Source organism: Homo sapiens, chromosome 1 (assembly GCF_000001405.40).
Source record: "Homo sapiens chromosome 1, GRCh38.p14 Primary Assembly".
Taxonomy (NCBI): Eukaryota; Metazoa; Chordata; class Mammalia; order Primates; family Hominidae; genus Homo; species Homo sapiens.
The window spans coordinates 16239412-16255498 of NC_000001.11; the positions used below are offsets into that span (position 1 = coordinate 16239412).

At 47.4% G+C, this 16087-nt stretch overlaps 1 protein-coding gene and 1 pseudogene across 5 annotated transcripts in view; both read right to left on the reverse strand.

Annotated features, from left to right (window-relative positions):
* Window positions 1669-2029, reverse strand: MT1XP1 (metallothionein 1X pseudogene 1; annotated as a pseudogene).
* Window positions 7429-16087, reverse strand: part of FBXO42 (F-box protein 42) — a 105641-nt gene continuing 96982 nt past the window's right edge. For 4 of the 5 annotated variants that reach the window (NM_018994.3, XM_047422747.1, XM_047422750.1 and 1 more), the window contains 4 exons: window positions 14224-14320; window positions 13685-13741; window positions 12877-12993; window positions 7429-12374 (listed from right to left, as the gene is read on the reverse strand). In NM_018994.3, coding sequence (NP_061867.1) covers window positions 11259-12374; window positions 12877-12993; window positions 13685-13741; window positions 14224-14320 — 1387 coding nt within the window. In that variant the 3' untranslated portion in view covers window positions 7429-11258. Of the gene's footprint in view, window positions 12375-12876; window positions 12994-13684; window positions 13771-14223; window positions 14321-16087 lie in introns of those variants that run through there. The other variant, XM_047422752.1, reaches the window with a different exon arrangement.

Sequence of the window (16087 nt, forward strand, 5' to 3'; positions counted from 1 at the left end):
CACTCCAGCCTGGGTGACAGAGCTGAATAAATAAAATTATGTATTCAGTGGAAGGCTGATCAAGGACTCAAAAGAATGCAATCTTTTGTCTCCTATCTACTTTTTTTTTTTTTGAGACAGAGTCTCACTCTGTCGCCCAGGCTGGAGTGCAGTGGCACAATCTCGGCTCACTGCAACCTCTGCCTCTGAGGTTCAAGTGATTCCCCTGCCTCAGCCTCCCAGGTAGCTGGGACTATAGGCATGCCCCACCATGTCCGGCTAATTTTTGTTGTTGTTGTATTTTAGTAGAGACGGGGTTTCACCATGTTGGCCAGGATGGTCTGGATCTCCTGACCTCATGATCCGCCCACCTCAGCCTTCCAAAGTGCTGGGATTATAGGCATGAGCCACTGCACCTGGCCTTGTCTCTTATGTATTTCTAACCTGGAAGCCCCTGCTTCAAGCTGTCCTGTCTTACCAGACCAAACCAATGTACATCTTACACATATTGATTGAGGTCTCATGTCTCCCTAAAACTTAAATGCAAACTGTACCCCTGACCACCTTGGGTATATGTCTCAGGATTTCCTGAGGCTGTCACGGGCACATCCTTAACCTTGGCAAAATAAACTTTCTAAATTGACTGTGACCTGTCTCAGATATTTGGGGTTCACACATCCAACCCCGACATTCTGTGTCAGGGGCTGGGTAGGTCTGTGAGCCTGCAGATTTGACAAAAGCACTAGGCAGTTCTGAAGTTGGGGTCTATATGAGTCAGCCCAGGCTGCTGTAACAAAAATACCACAGTCTGGGTACTCTAAACAACAGAAATTTATTTTCTCATAGTTCTAGAGGCTGGAAGTCCAAGATCAAGGTGCCAGCAGAGTTGGTTTCTGGGTGGGGCCTCTCTTCCTGGCTTACAGATGGCCTCTTCTCTGTGCTTATACATGTCTGGTGTCTCTTCCTCTGTTACAAATAGGACATTAGTCCTACTGGATTAGGGCTCCATGCTTATGGTCTCATTTAACCTTGATTACCTTTTTCTTTTATTTTTTGAGACAGGGCCTCACTCTGTCACCCAGGCTAGAGGGCAGTGGTGTGATCTCAGCTCACTGCAGCCACGACCTCCTCAGGCTCAAGCAATCCTCCTGCCTCAGCCCCGAGGGGAGCTAGGACTACAGGTGCATATCAGCACGCCTGGCTAATTTTTTTTTTTTTTGTATTTTTGTTTGTTTGTTTGAGACAAAGTCTCGCTCTTGTGCCCCAGGCTGGAGTGCAATGGCGCGATCTTTGCTCACTGCAACCTCCATCTCCCAGGTTCAAGTGATTCTCCTGCCTCAGCCTCCCAAGTAGCTGGGATTACAGGCGCCTGCCACCACACCCAGCTAATTTTTGTATTTTTAGTAGAGACGGGGTTCTACCATGTTGGCCAGGCTGGTCTTGAACTCCTGACCTCGGGTGATCCGCCCGCCTTGGCCTCCCAAAGTGCTGGGATTACAGGCATTAGCCACCATGCCCGGACTTTTTCTTTTGTATTTTTTTAGAGGTACGGTTTTGCCTTGTTGCCCAGGCTTGTCTCAAACTCCTGGCCTCAAGTGATCTGCCTGCCTTGGCCTCTGAAAGTGCTGGGATTACAGTCATCAGTCACCATGCTCACCCTTCATTACCTTTTTTTTTTTTTTTTTTTTTAGTCTAGATGAATTTATTGCCATTCACATATTTCATAGAAAAAAAGATGTAGCAAATGGGTCAGGGTTGTACCAAAAAAATCCAGGTTTATAAGGTTGCTCTATTTACATCTGAGAGCAGGGCTGTCCTGGCATCAGGCACAGCAGCTGCAGTTGTCCGACGTCCCTTTGCAGATGCAGCCCTGGGCACACTTGGCACAGCCCACAGGGCAGCAGGAGCAGCAGCTCTTCTTGCAGGAGGTGCATGTGCACTCTTTTCATTTGCAGGAGCCGGCACAGGCGCAGGAACCATCAGGCGAGCAGGAGCAGTTGGGGTCCATTTAGAGGCAGGGAGAAGCAGGAGTTCCTGATCAAGAGGCAAACACTCAGCGGGACAGATGAAAAGCGTGCCTTAATTACCTCTTTAAAGGACCTATTTCCAAATATGGTCACATTGGGGGCTAGGGCTTCAATGTATGGATTTGGGTGGAGCAGGGCATAATTCAGTCCATAACAGGGTCCACAGACCTCATGTAAACACTGCTGCTGGGCAAAGGAGGCCAGCTGACTGTTGGGACCTGAAAGTGACATGGTTAGAACTGCGTTTCAGAAGGACGCTTGTGGACCGTGTTGGTCTATGAGTTCTGCTCTCCTGTGCCCCTCTGACCACTAAACTATGTGTCCCCCTAAGCCAGCTGCTTCTCCTTTCAGGGCCTCAAGCAAAACATGTAGAACATCTCCCTAAGGACTCTTCTAGTCTAGAGCCCTCTGATTTTTTTTTTTTTTTTTTTTGAGACAGAGCCTTGCTCTGTCGCCAGGCTGGAGTGCAGTGGCATGATCTTGGCTCACCGCAACTTCCACCTCCCAGGTTCAAGCAGGTCTCCTGCCTCAGCCTCCCAAGTAGCTGGGACTACAGGCGCATGCCACCACGCCTAGCTAATTTTTGTATTTTTAGTAGAGACAAGGTTTCACCATGTTGGCCAGGACGGTCTCAATCTCCTGACCTCGTGATCTGCCCGCCTCGGCCTCCCAAAGTGCTGGGATTACAGGCATGAGCCACTGTGCCCGGCCTAGAGCCCTGTGATTAATCCACTCATTTCTTCTTGGTTTGGTCTCCCCACAAATATTTATTAAAAACCTCTTGGACAAGGTCCCCACAAGACCTTGAGAGGACTCCACAAGGCAGGGACACAGTCACCAACTTGACAGAGTGGATGGGAGGCCCAGGTGGGCAGACACACAGGCCGAGCTGGGGTGAGAATGAGGCATGGAGAGCCCTGCCTGAGGATCCTGGGTAGGTGTGGGGCGGGAGGTCAGCTAGGACACCAGGCTTAAAATCCTCTTGGCTCCTAGAATAACACCCACCCCTCCCTCAGCATGGCCTGGCACCAGGAGTGCTCCACTCCCACCTGGAATGCTTGCTCTGCCTCCTAGCAGTCCTTCCACCAGGCTCACTGGCTTTAGGGATTCTCCAAGCTGGAGCCACAGCCAGTTAATCAAGTCAGGTCAAGGGCACCAGCCTCGCCACCAAGCTCAGTGGTCAATTCTCCATCCTCAGATCACCTGACCCTGGGATCATTCCCAGGTGACTGGATGGATGGTGGTGCCCCTAACTGTGGGGGAAGCATGGAGGAAGCGCACAGGGTCAGAGGAGGAGCCCCTGGGGAGTGAGGGAGGGTGGGGGGCTGCCCAGAGAGGACACACTCACAGCAGATGTTGGAATGTAAAGCGCAGGTGAGCGGCCTGAGTGAAGCTGGACATTACTGACGGCGGAGGGACCAAGCCTGAAGCAATGGGTGTAGACAGATGAGAGGTCCGGATGCTGTGGACAGACAGCAGAGCCTTGGATGCCACCTGGGCAATGACAACGACGAGGTCAGACCCAGGAGAGGCAGAAGAACCGGAAACCCCCTCCTCCAGCCCGCCCTGAGGCTCATGTTTGGTGTGCAGGGAGGCTTGCCCAAATCCCAGGGAAGCATGGCTGGGGAGCGATGCTACTCCTTGGACGCCATCTCTTGTGGGCCTTCTGCTGCAGAGAGCACTCTGCTCTGTGCCTCTGCCGTGGCCCCAGCCATGCGGTCCTAAGTGTTGTCTTCCCACTACGGATTCCACTCGGGAGCTCCTTTCCCATTACATCTGAGGGGATGACCTCTGGCCATCAAGTCCACATGGGTCACCCTCCATTGTCCTCAGCCCTGACCACTGGCTGCTGCGGCTTATAGGCTTATCAAGACCCTGCATTACTGACTGCCAGAAGCGAGGCCTAGACCCCACCCATCTGGGATGCCCCAGATAGGTTCTATCCTCATCTGCCCCCCTGCCACAGGTTAGCAGGACGAGGCCAAGTGCCATGATCTGAACGTCCTGCCAGATTCACATGTTGAAGTTTAATCACCACTGTGACAGTATTAACAGGTGGGGCCTTCAGGGAATGACTAAGTCATGAGGGCAGAGCCCTCACGATGGGATTAGTGATGTTATGGAAAGGCGTGAGGGGCCAGTTCATCCCATCCACGGTGTGAAGACACAGCCTTCACGATGGAGCAGCAACAAGGCAATGTCTTGGAAGTGGAGACTGGGCCCTCACCAGACACCAAGCTTGATGGTGCCTTGAGCTTGGACTTCTAAGCCTCCAGAAATGTGGGAAATACATTTCTGTTGCTTATAAATCACTCAGTCTGTGGTATGGTATATAGCAGCACAAGGGAACTAAGACACCAAAGCAAAGAGAAGGCTAACTTCTTGGCTTCTGGCTTCCCGAACAACTGTCCCAGCCCTGGGTGGCTGCACTGGTTGCAGATGGTTCTACTGACTCCATCCTCTTTGGTATCTTTTTAGTATGATACCTGGATTGTCTTTTGACCTTAGAATCTCAGGATTTGTCATTTTTGTTTAGCCCATGTGACACCTCCCTGGTTTGTGATTAGGCTGTAAGCTCCTTCATGGGTGGGCCTCTTTTGTGTCTTGTGTGTGTCCCAGTGCCTCGGGGGTCACAGATGCTCAGGGAATGCTTGCTGAGAGTGAATAGTCTCCCAGTCAGTTCCAGGTGTTCTAGGCCTTGTCAACGGGCCACAGCCCATGTCCTCGGGCAGGAGCATCCTCCCTCTCCCCAGGCTTCTGCTGGAAAGGAGCCCTCCTTCTCTTCCTTGCAGTAGGTGGGCAGACAGGCTCCCTGGTGGGTGCAGAACACACTCTGCTAGGACTTTTTGGCATTTACTTAAGACATGGGCTTGGCTTTGTGCATTCCGACAGGCTCTGGACCCAGAGCCCAGCCCCATGAGAAAGATGGTAATTTTCCCACAGCTGAGGGCTGGGGAAGGAAAGGCAGGTAGGCCAGCTGGAGGATGGTACTTGAAACAAGGCAGGGGCCAGGGACGGGTGCCCCCCAGGCTTAACTGACAGAGGGAGGGGAGAAACAGGCAAGCATTTTCTTACTCCTGCCCATCTGCTTTCTTTCTCAAGACTGCCTCCGACAGATCGCCCAAGCACACTTGAAGCCTTTCACAGGGTGCCCTCAGGTGGCCTTTTGGGGAATCACACCCATCCAATGGATTAAACGATTCTTGGCTGGTTCCAGCTAAGTTGCTAACCTGTGAGGCTGGCTGCCATCATTGCCATTTTACTGATAAAATTGAGGCTCAGTGAGGCAGGATGACTTGCTCCAGCTCAAAGTGACAGTCAGCTCCTGAACCTAGGTCTGCCCTGTCCTACTGCCTCTAAGTCCCTTCTGAGTCCACAGAACTACGTCTCAAAAAATTGAAATGGCATCAAGCGTTTCCTTGGTTCCAATCTTGATCTGATGCATCTCTGTTATTTCCTCCCATGCAGGTGGTCAGACCCTGTTTGAACACTTCCAGCCGTGGGCAAATCATCACCTCACACAGCATCCACTGACATGCTGGCAGTGTTTGTGGGAAGAGAAGTAGTAAAGCCACTGAGACCAGAAGGTGGAACTTAGCTGGGAGTCTCTCCTTGGCCTGGGGGAGGTGAAAAGGCACAGAGCACTAAGACCCAGTCATGTGCGGCAGCACCACGCAGAGGCCAGCCTGCAGGATTTTCACGGGCAAAATTTTGGTGGATGCTTCCTCTCCTGCCTGGACGTGGGGGTGCTCAAAGCCTACCACTTCTAGGAACCTTTCTCAGGCCTCACGGGAGGAGTAATGAAGGCAAAACCTTGGGCTGAGGTGCTGATTCCTGCACTGTCTCCCCTTCCCCAGGCAGATTTTCAATTTACACCCGAATGTGCATAGGCCTCTGGCCCTTTATTTATTTGTTGGGAGATGGAGTCTCGCTTTGTTGCCCAGGCTGGAGTGCAGTGGTGCAATCTTGGCTCAATGCAGCCTCCACCTGGGTTCAAGTGATTCTCCTGCCTCAGCCTCCTGAGTAGCTAGGATTACAGGCGTGCACCACCATGCCTGGCTAATTTTTGTATCTGTAGTAGAGAAGGGGTTTTGCCATGTTGGTCAGGCTGGTCTTGAACTCCTGACCTCAAGGGATCCACCTGCCTTGGGCTCCCAAAGTATTGGGATTACGGGCGTGAGCCACCATGCCCAGCCCACTGACCCTTTAGTATCCAGAAAAGCAAGAACCCTGGCTGGGGAGTGCTGTGCTGGCCCTGCAGTGGAAGGCAGTAGCTGCCAACTTACTATGTGCTGGGCGTTGTGCTGGCGCTTTTCACATACAACTTCAATTAACCCACAGGCTCCTATAAGGTAGAAGCAACTACATTTACAGATGAGGAAGCTTGTATCCAAGGTTAAGTAGTAAGTAGGGAAAAGCAGGATTAAGCCATAGGCCTTCGGAGCTTCGGGACTGCGTTCCAAACCATCATCTGCTGTGCCTCTTCATGCCCCTGGGGCCCTGTGTCTTCATCTTTGCTTAGGGGGCCAGGGAAGATGCAAATGTCGTCCTGGCCCCTGGGCCTCTGCTCCAAGCTCATGACCACTCTTGGATGTCCATTGCAGGCTGGTACTGAGGCTCTGAAACACCAAGCCCTTCAAGCGTGATGGAGGGAGCTGGTTTATTATTAAATGGCATTGTCCCCAAGGAGTGGCAACTCTCCACCTCTCCATGAAAACACAACCTCCTAGAGAAGGTATCTCTTTCCAACTACTGTGCCTTCAATCTCCAACCTCAATTGTTTCCCATCAAGACAATTTTTTTTTTTTTTGTAACAGGGTCTTACTTTGTCGCCCAGGCTGGCATGCAGTGGCACAATCATGGCTCACTGCAGTCTTGACCTCCCTAGCTCAAGTGTGATCTTCCCATTCAGCCTCCTGAGTAGTTGGGACCACAAGCATACACCACCATGCTTGGGTAAATTTTTTTTTTTTTAGAGATGGGGTCTCACTATATTGCCCAGGCTGGTCTCAAACTCCTGGTCTAAGTGATCCTCCTGCCTCAGCCTCCCAAAGTGGTGGGATTACAGACATGAGCCACTGTGATTGACCTCTTTTTTTTTTTTTTGAGACAGTCTAACTCTGTTGCCCAGGCTGGAGTGCAGTGACACAAACTTGGCTCACTGCAACCTCTGCCTCCTGGGTTGGAGCAATTCTCCTGCCTCAGCCTCCCAAGTAGTTGGGATTACAGGTGCCTGCCACCATGCCCGGCTAATTTTTGTATTTTTAGTAGAGACAGGGTTTCACTATGTTGGCCAGGCTGGTATCAAACTCCTGACCTTGTGATCCGCCTGCCTCGGCCTCCCAAAGTGCTGGGATTACAAGCGTGAGCCACTGCGCCCGGCCAGACCTCTTTTCTTTTTCTTTTTTTGCTAATAAAACAGTTAAGACAATTGTCCATTTTATTTGTTAAATTGCTAAAAAGTCATCAGGGGAAAACATTAACAAAAAATGAAATTGACAGATTTAAATATCAATGAAATCCATGTTTCATTCCTACACTGTTATGTGCCCAAAATGACTATCTCAGGGTAAGCCACCTGGCATCCCTGAGTTGTATGGGAAACATCACTCACAGCACCAGCTTCGCCAGGGCACATGGGGTGTGCACTGACATGAACCCTGGTTGGAGGGAGGGGAGCAGAGCAAGTAGAGTGTACAATGGAGCCAACACCTAAAGTTTGCTCTCATTTGACAATGAACACGGTGAGAGGGAGCCACTTACTGGTAACCATGCAGAACATGCCTTCTGCAGTTCATGGAGAGGCTACATGGGACGCAGGCCTGGAAATTCAGCTTCCTCACCACCAGGCGTGGTTAGATCCTCCCCACTGACTTGTGCGCTGGTAAGAGACCATGGATAATGCAAAGTGGAGCATATCACCATGCCAGGATCACCACAAGGACAAGGACAGACAGACAGACCAACCAGGAATACCACTTTTAAGGGGGAAGGAAAGAGTGAAGCAGAAGGAAACCCAGAATGACAAGGTGAAAGAAAGGAAAGGGAAACATCTCTTTGTTCTCCATTGGCTGGTGGCTTTCTGTCCTCCAAAGTCAAGGCTTCTTAAGTTGGTTTTCTTTCTTCCTCCTCCTCCTCCTCTTTTCTTTATTTTAAAGAGTTCCAACACAGTTCCTAGAATAGTTCATGGTTTTCAGCTGTTGCTGTAAAACTCGAACATTAAAATCAAATCAATCCACAGACAGCTGGGAGGAGAGTAAGCCCAGTATGCCCTAAAATGAAATTTAAGCTTGTTTCAACACCAAATTTGTGCTCCCAAAGTGTAGGGTAGGGTGAGGTTGTGGAGTCCACCAACCAAATGAAGGGTGGAAATAGGAATGAAAACACAAAACCCGCTCTGCTGTATAACCTGTGAAATAAGAGAACAGGAAGCTCTGTCCAAGAGGGTAGGGAGAGACTAAAATTCTTAAGTAAGATGGACAAGGTGACCAGTGAAGTCACTAGGCCATGGGAGCTCTCAAAAGGCACACTTGCAGGAATGGAAGGGGTTAAAGCTTCAAGTAGAAACAAAATGAATTTTCAATAAATACGGATAAATATTTGCTTCAGGTGCTCCTGAGGGTTAAAAAAAATTTAGTCTCATTTTTCTCAGTGAATTTTAAGACAAAATTGGTATCATGTGAAAAATGGGGTCATGGTTCAATCTGGCCTGACTGCAGCATCCACGGCATTGTGGAAATGCTCGCCTTGGCCGAGACACGTGAAGTCCCACCGCACAGGTGGCTTCAGGAGGCCTGAGGAGACAATCACCTTCACTGTGTTGAATCACTTTCCCATGGTACACGCCCACAGTGCCCAGGAGCTACCAAGACCAACCATAATGGGGGCAGACAAGGCAGATTTTTCTTAAAAAGCTGTAAGCAAACAGTCTGGTTCCAGGCAGTATGCGTCAAACTGGAATTCAATGGAGTTCAGAGGAACCAGATTACTTTCTAAGACAATCAACATATCTGTTGCCTGCCTACTTGGGGGAAGTGGAAGGAATCAACACGTTAACAGCTGGCTTAGGAAGGCCACAGGACTAAGGGAAAGACTGTAAGGTTGAGATTCTGTACTTTCAGGTTTCTAATATACTTTATATTTAGATAGGAACTACTGAGTTTGGAGGCACAGTCCATGCACAAACACAATGTCCTAACACAAGGTACAGCAATAGCGGTAACACCTGAATTGCTAGCCTTCTGGCCCAGCTTTCCCTTGTAAATAAGGACCCCACATGATCGAACAGTCTTTGCCAAGCAAGGATTGGCAACAGCACCAGAGCCTGAGTCGCGAAAGGGAAGTGTGGAGCTCCAAGCAGTTGGATGCCACATAAGTAGACACATGTTGTTTCCTCATTGAAGGGAACACAAAGAGCAGTTTCTGGAACACATACCCCTCCCCACAAGCTAGGCTTGGCACCAGGGTGGCTTTCCTACGAAGACCACATCATAAAAGCTAATGGCTAAGGGAAAGGATTCAGCATGATGTAACAGGAGAAAACACACTTATCAGTACACTTAGGCTGCCAGATGCTGGCTGAAAGCCAGGACCCAGGGCCAGCTGCAGCAGGCTTTGTGCCTGAGAAACGCTAATAATAAAAAGAGGAGTGTCAGGGTGGCAAGGTGATGTTTTGAAATTAGGATTTAAATTTCAAAACAAAACAAAGGCAAAACAAAAATCCTCTTTCCACTGATGAGAAATCACCAAAAATCCCTATTTAAATGGTGCCATTTGAAATAAACTTATTTTGACATCTCCTATGCCCAGGCCATGGTTGAGACTAGTAACTTTCTGTATCAAGCAAAGAAATGCTCTACTTGGTTACACCTTAATCTCAGAAATGAAGTGAAAGTAAAAACCCAAGCCCTATTTGGGTGACACATGAAGAAGACAAGTGCAAAGGATGGAGCTGTTTCTGAGGTCAGCCATGCGTCAAGAAGTCAAGTACATGATTCTCAACTCCATCACCTGCCAATAGCCAGGAAGAGGAATATATGTCACCACAAGGAAAAAAACATTTCTAAAAAGAACTGTTATTGGAATTCCCTTCCAGAATCAATTTCCACATTCTACAAATATGGGATGAGTGTGCTCAATGTGCTTTGGAAGTAAAAAGAAGCCCATAGGGAAAAAACAGTATCTTTTGATGCTTGCTTCAAAGATTTCTCACAATATTGGCATCTTAGAATTCCCTACTGGCCCCCTAGTGACACCAGGGAAAGGGTTCCACAAGTATTTCTAAGCAGCTTCTGATTTCTGTAGGCACCTGAGCTTTGTAAAAGAAACAGAAAGTCAGACAGGTTTTAGGACTTCACCACATATGAAAAAAAAAAAAGAAAAGAAAAAAGGTAGAAGAAAAAAGCAGCCTGTAAGTGAATGGAAAAGGCAGTTTCCAAGTACCATGTTCTAAGGGAAGAAAGAGGAGAATAAATATGTTTTTTGGCAACTTGCCACCAAATATGATTGATTGTCAGAAATTTCCACAATCAGACACAAAATGTTTTCTGAGACACACAAGAAGCACTCCAAAGACCAATGGACACTACTAGGCGGTCAGATGTTGGCTGCATAAACATTATTTCACAATGACCCGGCACACAAATGTGGAATAAAATCCTTTGTTGGGTAACTTTCCTCAGCCATAAAAGGCAAGAGGGGGCCAGGCACTGGCATTTCTGCAGAGCTGTCACAGGTCCTCTGTGGTTTTAAGAGAAGGGGAAAAACAGTTACTTTTACCCCGACAGCACCTGAAGCATGAGAGTCTAAAACCCTCCACCTTTGCAACTTACATATGCCCTTTCATTTTTTAACTCCAAGAAGGCCACATAAAGATTTACAGGGGGCTCTTCAGTTTCTTTTGGGAAGTTACTGATGTTAGTCTATTCTCTAACTTCTTGGTCTAGTTACCAGCAAGGTAGAAAAAGGCAGCCCAGCCCCTGTTAAAACACAGCAACAACTTTATCTGAACCAGGATGGAAATCTCTCCCTTTTTTTGTCAACAGAGTTGGCTATATAATATATATATATATATTTATATATAATTTTTTTTCTTAATGGAGATTTGATCCCAGCCTGGAGTGACTTCGGTTGGGAATTAAAGAGTTTTGGCTTCTGGGAGTAATTTTGTTTTCCCAATTCTCAGTCCAAATGCTTACACACTGGAAAATTCCAAATTAAAAGCCACAGAAAAGGAAAGGGGTTTAGAACACATTATCTCTTTGCTCGTACAAAGTACAAGGCGTTTGTTTTTGGATAGTACTTCACATTCTGTTTCTTGTCCATGAGTCCTCCAAATATGATGAGTTCACCCCTGCCTTGTACCACGGTATGCAGGCTGGTTTCAGGAGGTCCAACCACAGAACTGCTATTAAATACTTTCCATTTGACCCGCCCCTTCTCCTTGGTGTCTTTAATGTCCAGCACGTACATCTGCATGGGCTTGCAGTTCATACTCTGGTATAGGGGTTTGCCAACATTTAGGGACTGTGGAGGGTGGTGGCCCAGGCGGCGAGCAATGGGAGGTAAGGAATGTCCATCTCCTTGGGCAGGCCCTGGGCGAGGGATGGGCACTGTTTCTCCACTGCTCAAACTCTGGCTCCCAGGAGAGCCTGGAGAAGACCCAAGAGGAGGACTTAGTGCTGCAGAGGCCGAGGGGCCTTTGGAGGACATCGCTTTGATGGCTTCCAGACTCCGACGCAGGGCACCTGGGGAGACGGCCCCTGCAAGGGCACTGGCCACGTGAGGTGGGGTATGCACACCATTTGTCTGTTCAGGAGGGTGTCTCATACTTCCCCCAACTGTCCTATTGTCCATGCCATCCATGGGATTACTACTGGAAGCGGGTTTCAGATCCCAATTCAGATCTATGGATCCTAATCTCAGATCTTTCTGATCTGGTAGTGATCCTCGTCGGGGGGCCAAAGAAAGTCCTATTTTCAGGTCGTATCCTTCAGGAGCAGATGGAGTACTTGGAGATATGGCCTGTACAGGACTGTCCAAAGAAGAGCCACCCACAGCTGCCGTTCCTGGAGACAAACTCCCACCATTGAGGATAGGAGAGCCGTCTCCTCTGGCTGGGGAAAGGCTCCCTTCCCGGGAACCTGAAGGAGTCTGCCTTTGAGCCCTGGGTCTCAGTGTTCCCCAGCGGCCGTTAACACAAGGAGCTTCATCCATGCTTCTTACTGGAGACTGAGAGCGGTACTCTCGGGTTTCAGGAACGAGAGCTGGAGGAGTGGCACTGATAGGTGATGGGCGAGAGTTCAAACTGGGGCTGAGTGGGGCTCTCCCACTAGGAGCCTGGCTGAAGACCACCACACACTGTCCCACCTGGAAGACAAAGGACCAGTGCTCACACTCTTCTATGATTCTGATTGTTCATTCAACTGTCAAACATTTTATCATGAGCATCTGTCATGTGCCAGACATTTTGTAGGTACCTGAGATATGAAGATGAAAATGATGTAGTCTGCCCTCTAGGCTAGAAGTCAGACATGGGAACAATCGCTGCTTTGTGTGACATATGCTATCATTAGAGATATGTATACAGAAGGGGTGGGGAGAAGGGAACAATCAATTTTTGTTAGAAGGAGAAGGGAAAGTTTCACAGACAAACAGATGCTTAAAGTTGGGACTTACTGAATGAGTAGGGCCCCTGTAAGTTTTCCCATTTAGTGAGAAATGCCAAAGGAGCTATGGCTAATGTTCACCTCTTTTGTGACACCAAGGTGTTTTCTATTTTTGTACAAATTTCTTTGTAACCTGACAAAGTAATGTGGTTTTCCACAATTTAGGACCTGTCCTCCTGCTAGCCTGTCAGCTCCCTGCTTACCCGGCAAGCTGGATGGCACCACAGTTCTGGGGCCCCATGCTCTTCATTTTCTACCTTGAGTGGCTGCCAGGCCCAAGGACCAGAATGCATGTGCAACAACCAAGCATCCTTGAATAGCTGTAAGAGAAAAAACCAATAACAAGACTCAGGTGTGATATGCGTTCCAAAACACACACACACAGAGTTGCAGTCTCAAAGCTCTCCTGTCTGGTCTTGAAAGGATGTGGACTCTTCAGAAGGATAGCAAAATCCTCAGTTAATTATTCAGTTGTGCATGCATCCACTTACGCTTTCATTCATTCATATATTACCACTGGCTTAGCACATGGAATTGTGCTTGTGACCCATGAATCAACTGAGTGGTTTTGACACTTGCCCATAATTTTATGTGTATGTATTGGGGATTGAAGGAGAGGATAAATAATACATATCCACAACTTTCTGAATCTGCTTTCTTAAATACTGTGTGAACTCTGACAGTTATCAACCTGCTTTTTTGTTCCACTGCCCTCTCCCCTTTGAAAATATGATAGCAGTAAACTTTATAGCCTAAAAAGGAAATAGGAATGGGAAGAATATAGATATGAATATTCAAGAGACAAATATCTATGATTAAAAGGATCCCCCCACAACCCTAAAAAAAAGCAGAAACAAAGGCCAGAAAATACAAAGGCTATACCCAAAAAGCATTCCTTAAATTAAAATGCCATGGAAATAGTCTTGTATACTCCTAGAAAAGAAGACAGGGGAAACAGGTTTTGAACACTTAGTAGCATGCACATGGGAATGCCACAGAAGCAATACTCACAGCATTGGGACCGCCACACCCTCCGAGGATTAAGATAGTTGCATCATCTATGACAATCTGAGGAGGGGAAGACATTGAAAATAAACCTACAAAGACACAGGTTTCTGACTTTCTATGCTTCACTGGTATATGAGAATAGCCTACCTAGCTCCCAAATGGGAATATTCTAGTTACCATAACCTCTCCATTCTCCTAAAAACATATCAATTCTGATCCCTGTGAATAAATTACTGATAATTCACCTGAAAGGATACATTCTTTGTTGATCAAATATTAACATGAATGTCAACCACATAAAATGCAGGATTCTCTTGAGAAATGACACAGCAAAGTAAATGCTTTGGGGAGGAGCATAATATAAAACCACTATAAATAATATGACCCATTAGAAGTTGAAAAATAAATACCAGTAAAAAAGAATGATACATTTTCTTTGGCTTAGTGCATATTGGCATCTTACCTGACTCCCTCCTCCCTCTCCCGTCCTAACTGAAAGACGCTACAGTGTTTGCTGAATAGTTATTTTAATTCCTGAGCACCTGAGATTGGCCACCTCGAGGATGAGGACTGGGGCCAGAGATGTTCGGCTTGGACCACGCCCACTGCTCAAGGTCAAGGACCCAGACATCATTGCTCCTGTGAATTAAGGACAGAAGGATAAAGGTAGTTAGGAGCTCCCAGGGACCATAATGGTGGCTGGGGAGTTCCACATGCCTGTGGCCCATCTGGCAAACTTGCACCATTTTCACTTTCACAGACTGTGTGGGCTGGAGCAGGTTTTAGAGATGCCCTACTCAGAGTTCAGGGGCTTCTGAACCAGAAAGAGACCATGTTGCTGAATCCCAGCTCTGTAGCCTGAACAAGTCACTTAATTTTCTCTAACTCTGACTTTATCTCTAAAATGAAAATACTGTTACTACTGTCTGAGGAGCTGATATAAAATGAAGGGACCTTTATAAAGATGCGCAGCAAAGTGTTATGCTCCTACTTAGCACTTAGGCTGTATCTTTCTTCCCCTACTTTCCCTAGAAGTCATCCTGAGACCCTCCCTCTGCTCTTTCCACGAGGCCTCATCTGAGCCACGTCTGCGGCCAGACACTAGTGCCTAATGAGATTATTTTTTTAACCATCTATTAACTGAAGTAAAAGCAGATGATTAAAAAATAGTTAATTGGTGACAGCAGGAAATAGACACTGGTTAAGCTACAGTTTTCAAAAGCAAAAACCACAAAGAAGAGAAAAAACGATTCAAAAGGCAGCTTCATCATTGTCCAGGAGTTAAAAGCTTTATCGATTCTGGCTACAAAAAGTAATTGCACAATGACTAATGAAAGCTGCAGTTTTATCAAGGACAGACTGGCATCTCTAACCCTCAAGGGACCAACATGACGAGGACAGACTCCTGGATGGCAGTCTCTCTTTCATGGTCACTTAAGGTCATTGATTCACCCACAAAAATACAGGAATAATAGTTCCAATATCTGAAATCCTAAACTCTCTCATTGGGAGAGTAGCTCCTATAATCTCTCTCCATAACTGTTTTAAAATATGAAGATGGAAATGCCCTAAGGGAGGACAGGTGTGGGATGGTCTTGCTGCTGACAGCTCATCAACTTCCACTTCAGAGCACAGGGGGAATGACCACAACTGCTGCTACCGCTGAATCAGACAGTGATACAGATGGAATGCTCTGGCTCCTGACTATGGCTTGAGCTGTCCAGTATGGCCAGAAGTGGACAGGACAGGAGGTAGGGACAATGACCTCACAGAAATGTCATGCCTGACACAGTTTTCCTGTTCCTACCCATTCCACAACCCATCCCATTTGTTTTTTTCTTTTCTTTCCTTCTTTCTTTCTTTTCATGCCCTTTACATGTGGCTCAACCAACCTATCACATTTGGAGGGCCCACCATTTCCACTTGTCCTGTCAATCTCCCCCTCTTCTCCTCTAAAGCCCAAAAGGGCAAGAGCTGGGTAATAAAGTAGAATAAGTAAAAGCATTCTGTTCTCGAAAGTTGGCCTTCTGCAGGCACAGCACAGCAGGCAAGGTGGAGGTTCCATCAGAATTTGATCCTACTGAATAGAACCATATGTCAAAGAGATTCTATATAACTATGATTTTATAGAGCAAATTTTTCAATTTATTGGTCTGTGATTAAGGGATTAAAGAACAGAATGCTAGGATGAGATAACTAATTGGATTAATTAGAGCCATGCTCAGGAATACTGACCCTAACTTACTTTTTTTTTTTTTTTCCTTAAGAGTCTCGATCTGTTGCCCAGGCTGGAATGCAATGGGGTGATCTTGGCTCACTGCAATCGCCACTTCCCAGGTTCAAGCGATTCTCCTGCCTTAGTCTCCCAAGTAACTGGGACTACAGGTGTGTGCCACCATGCCCGGC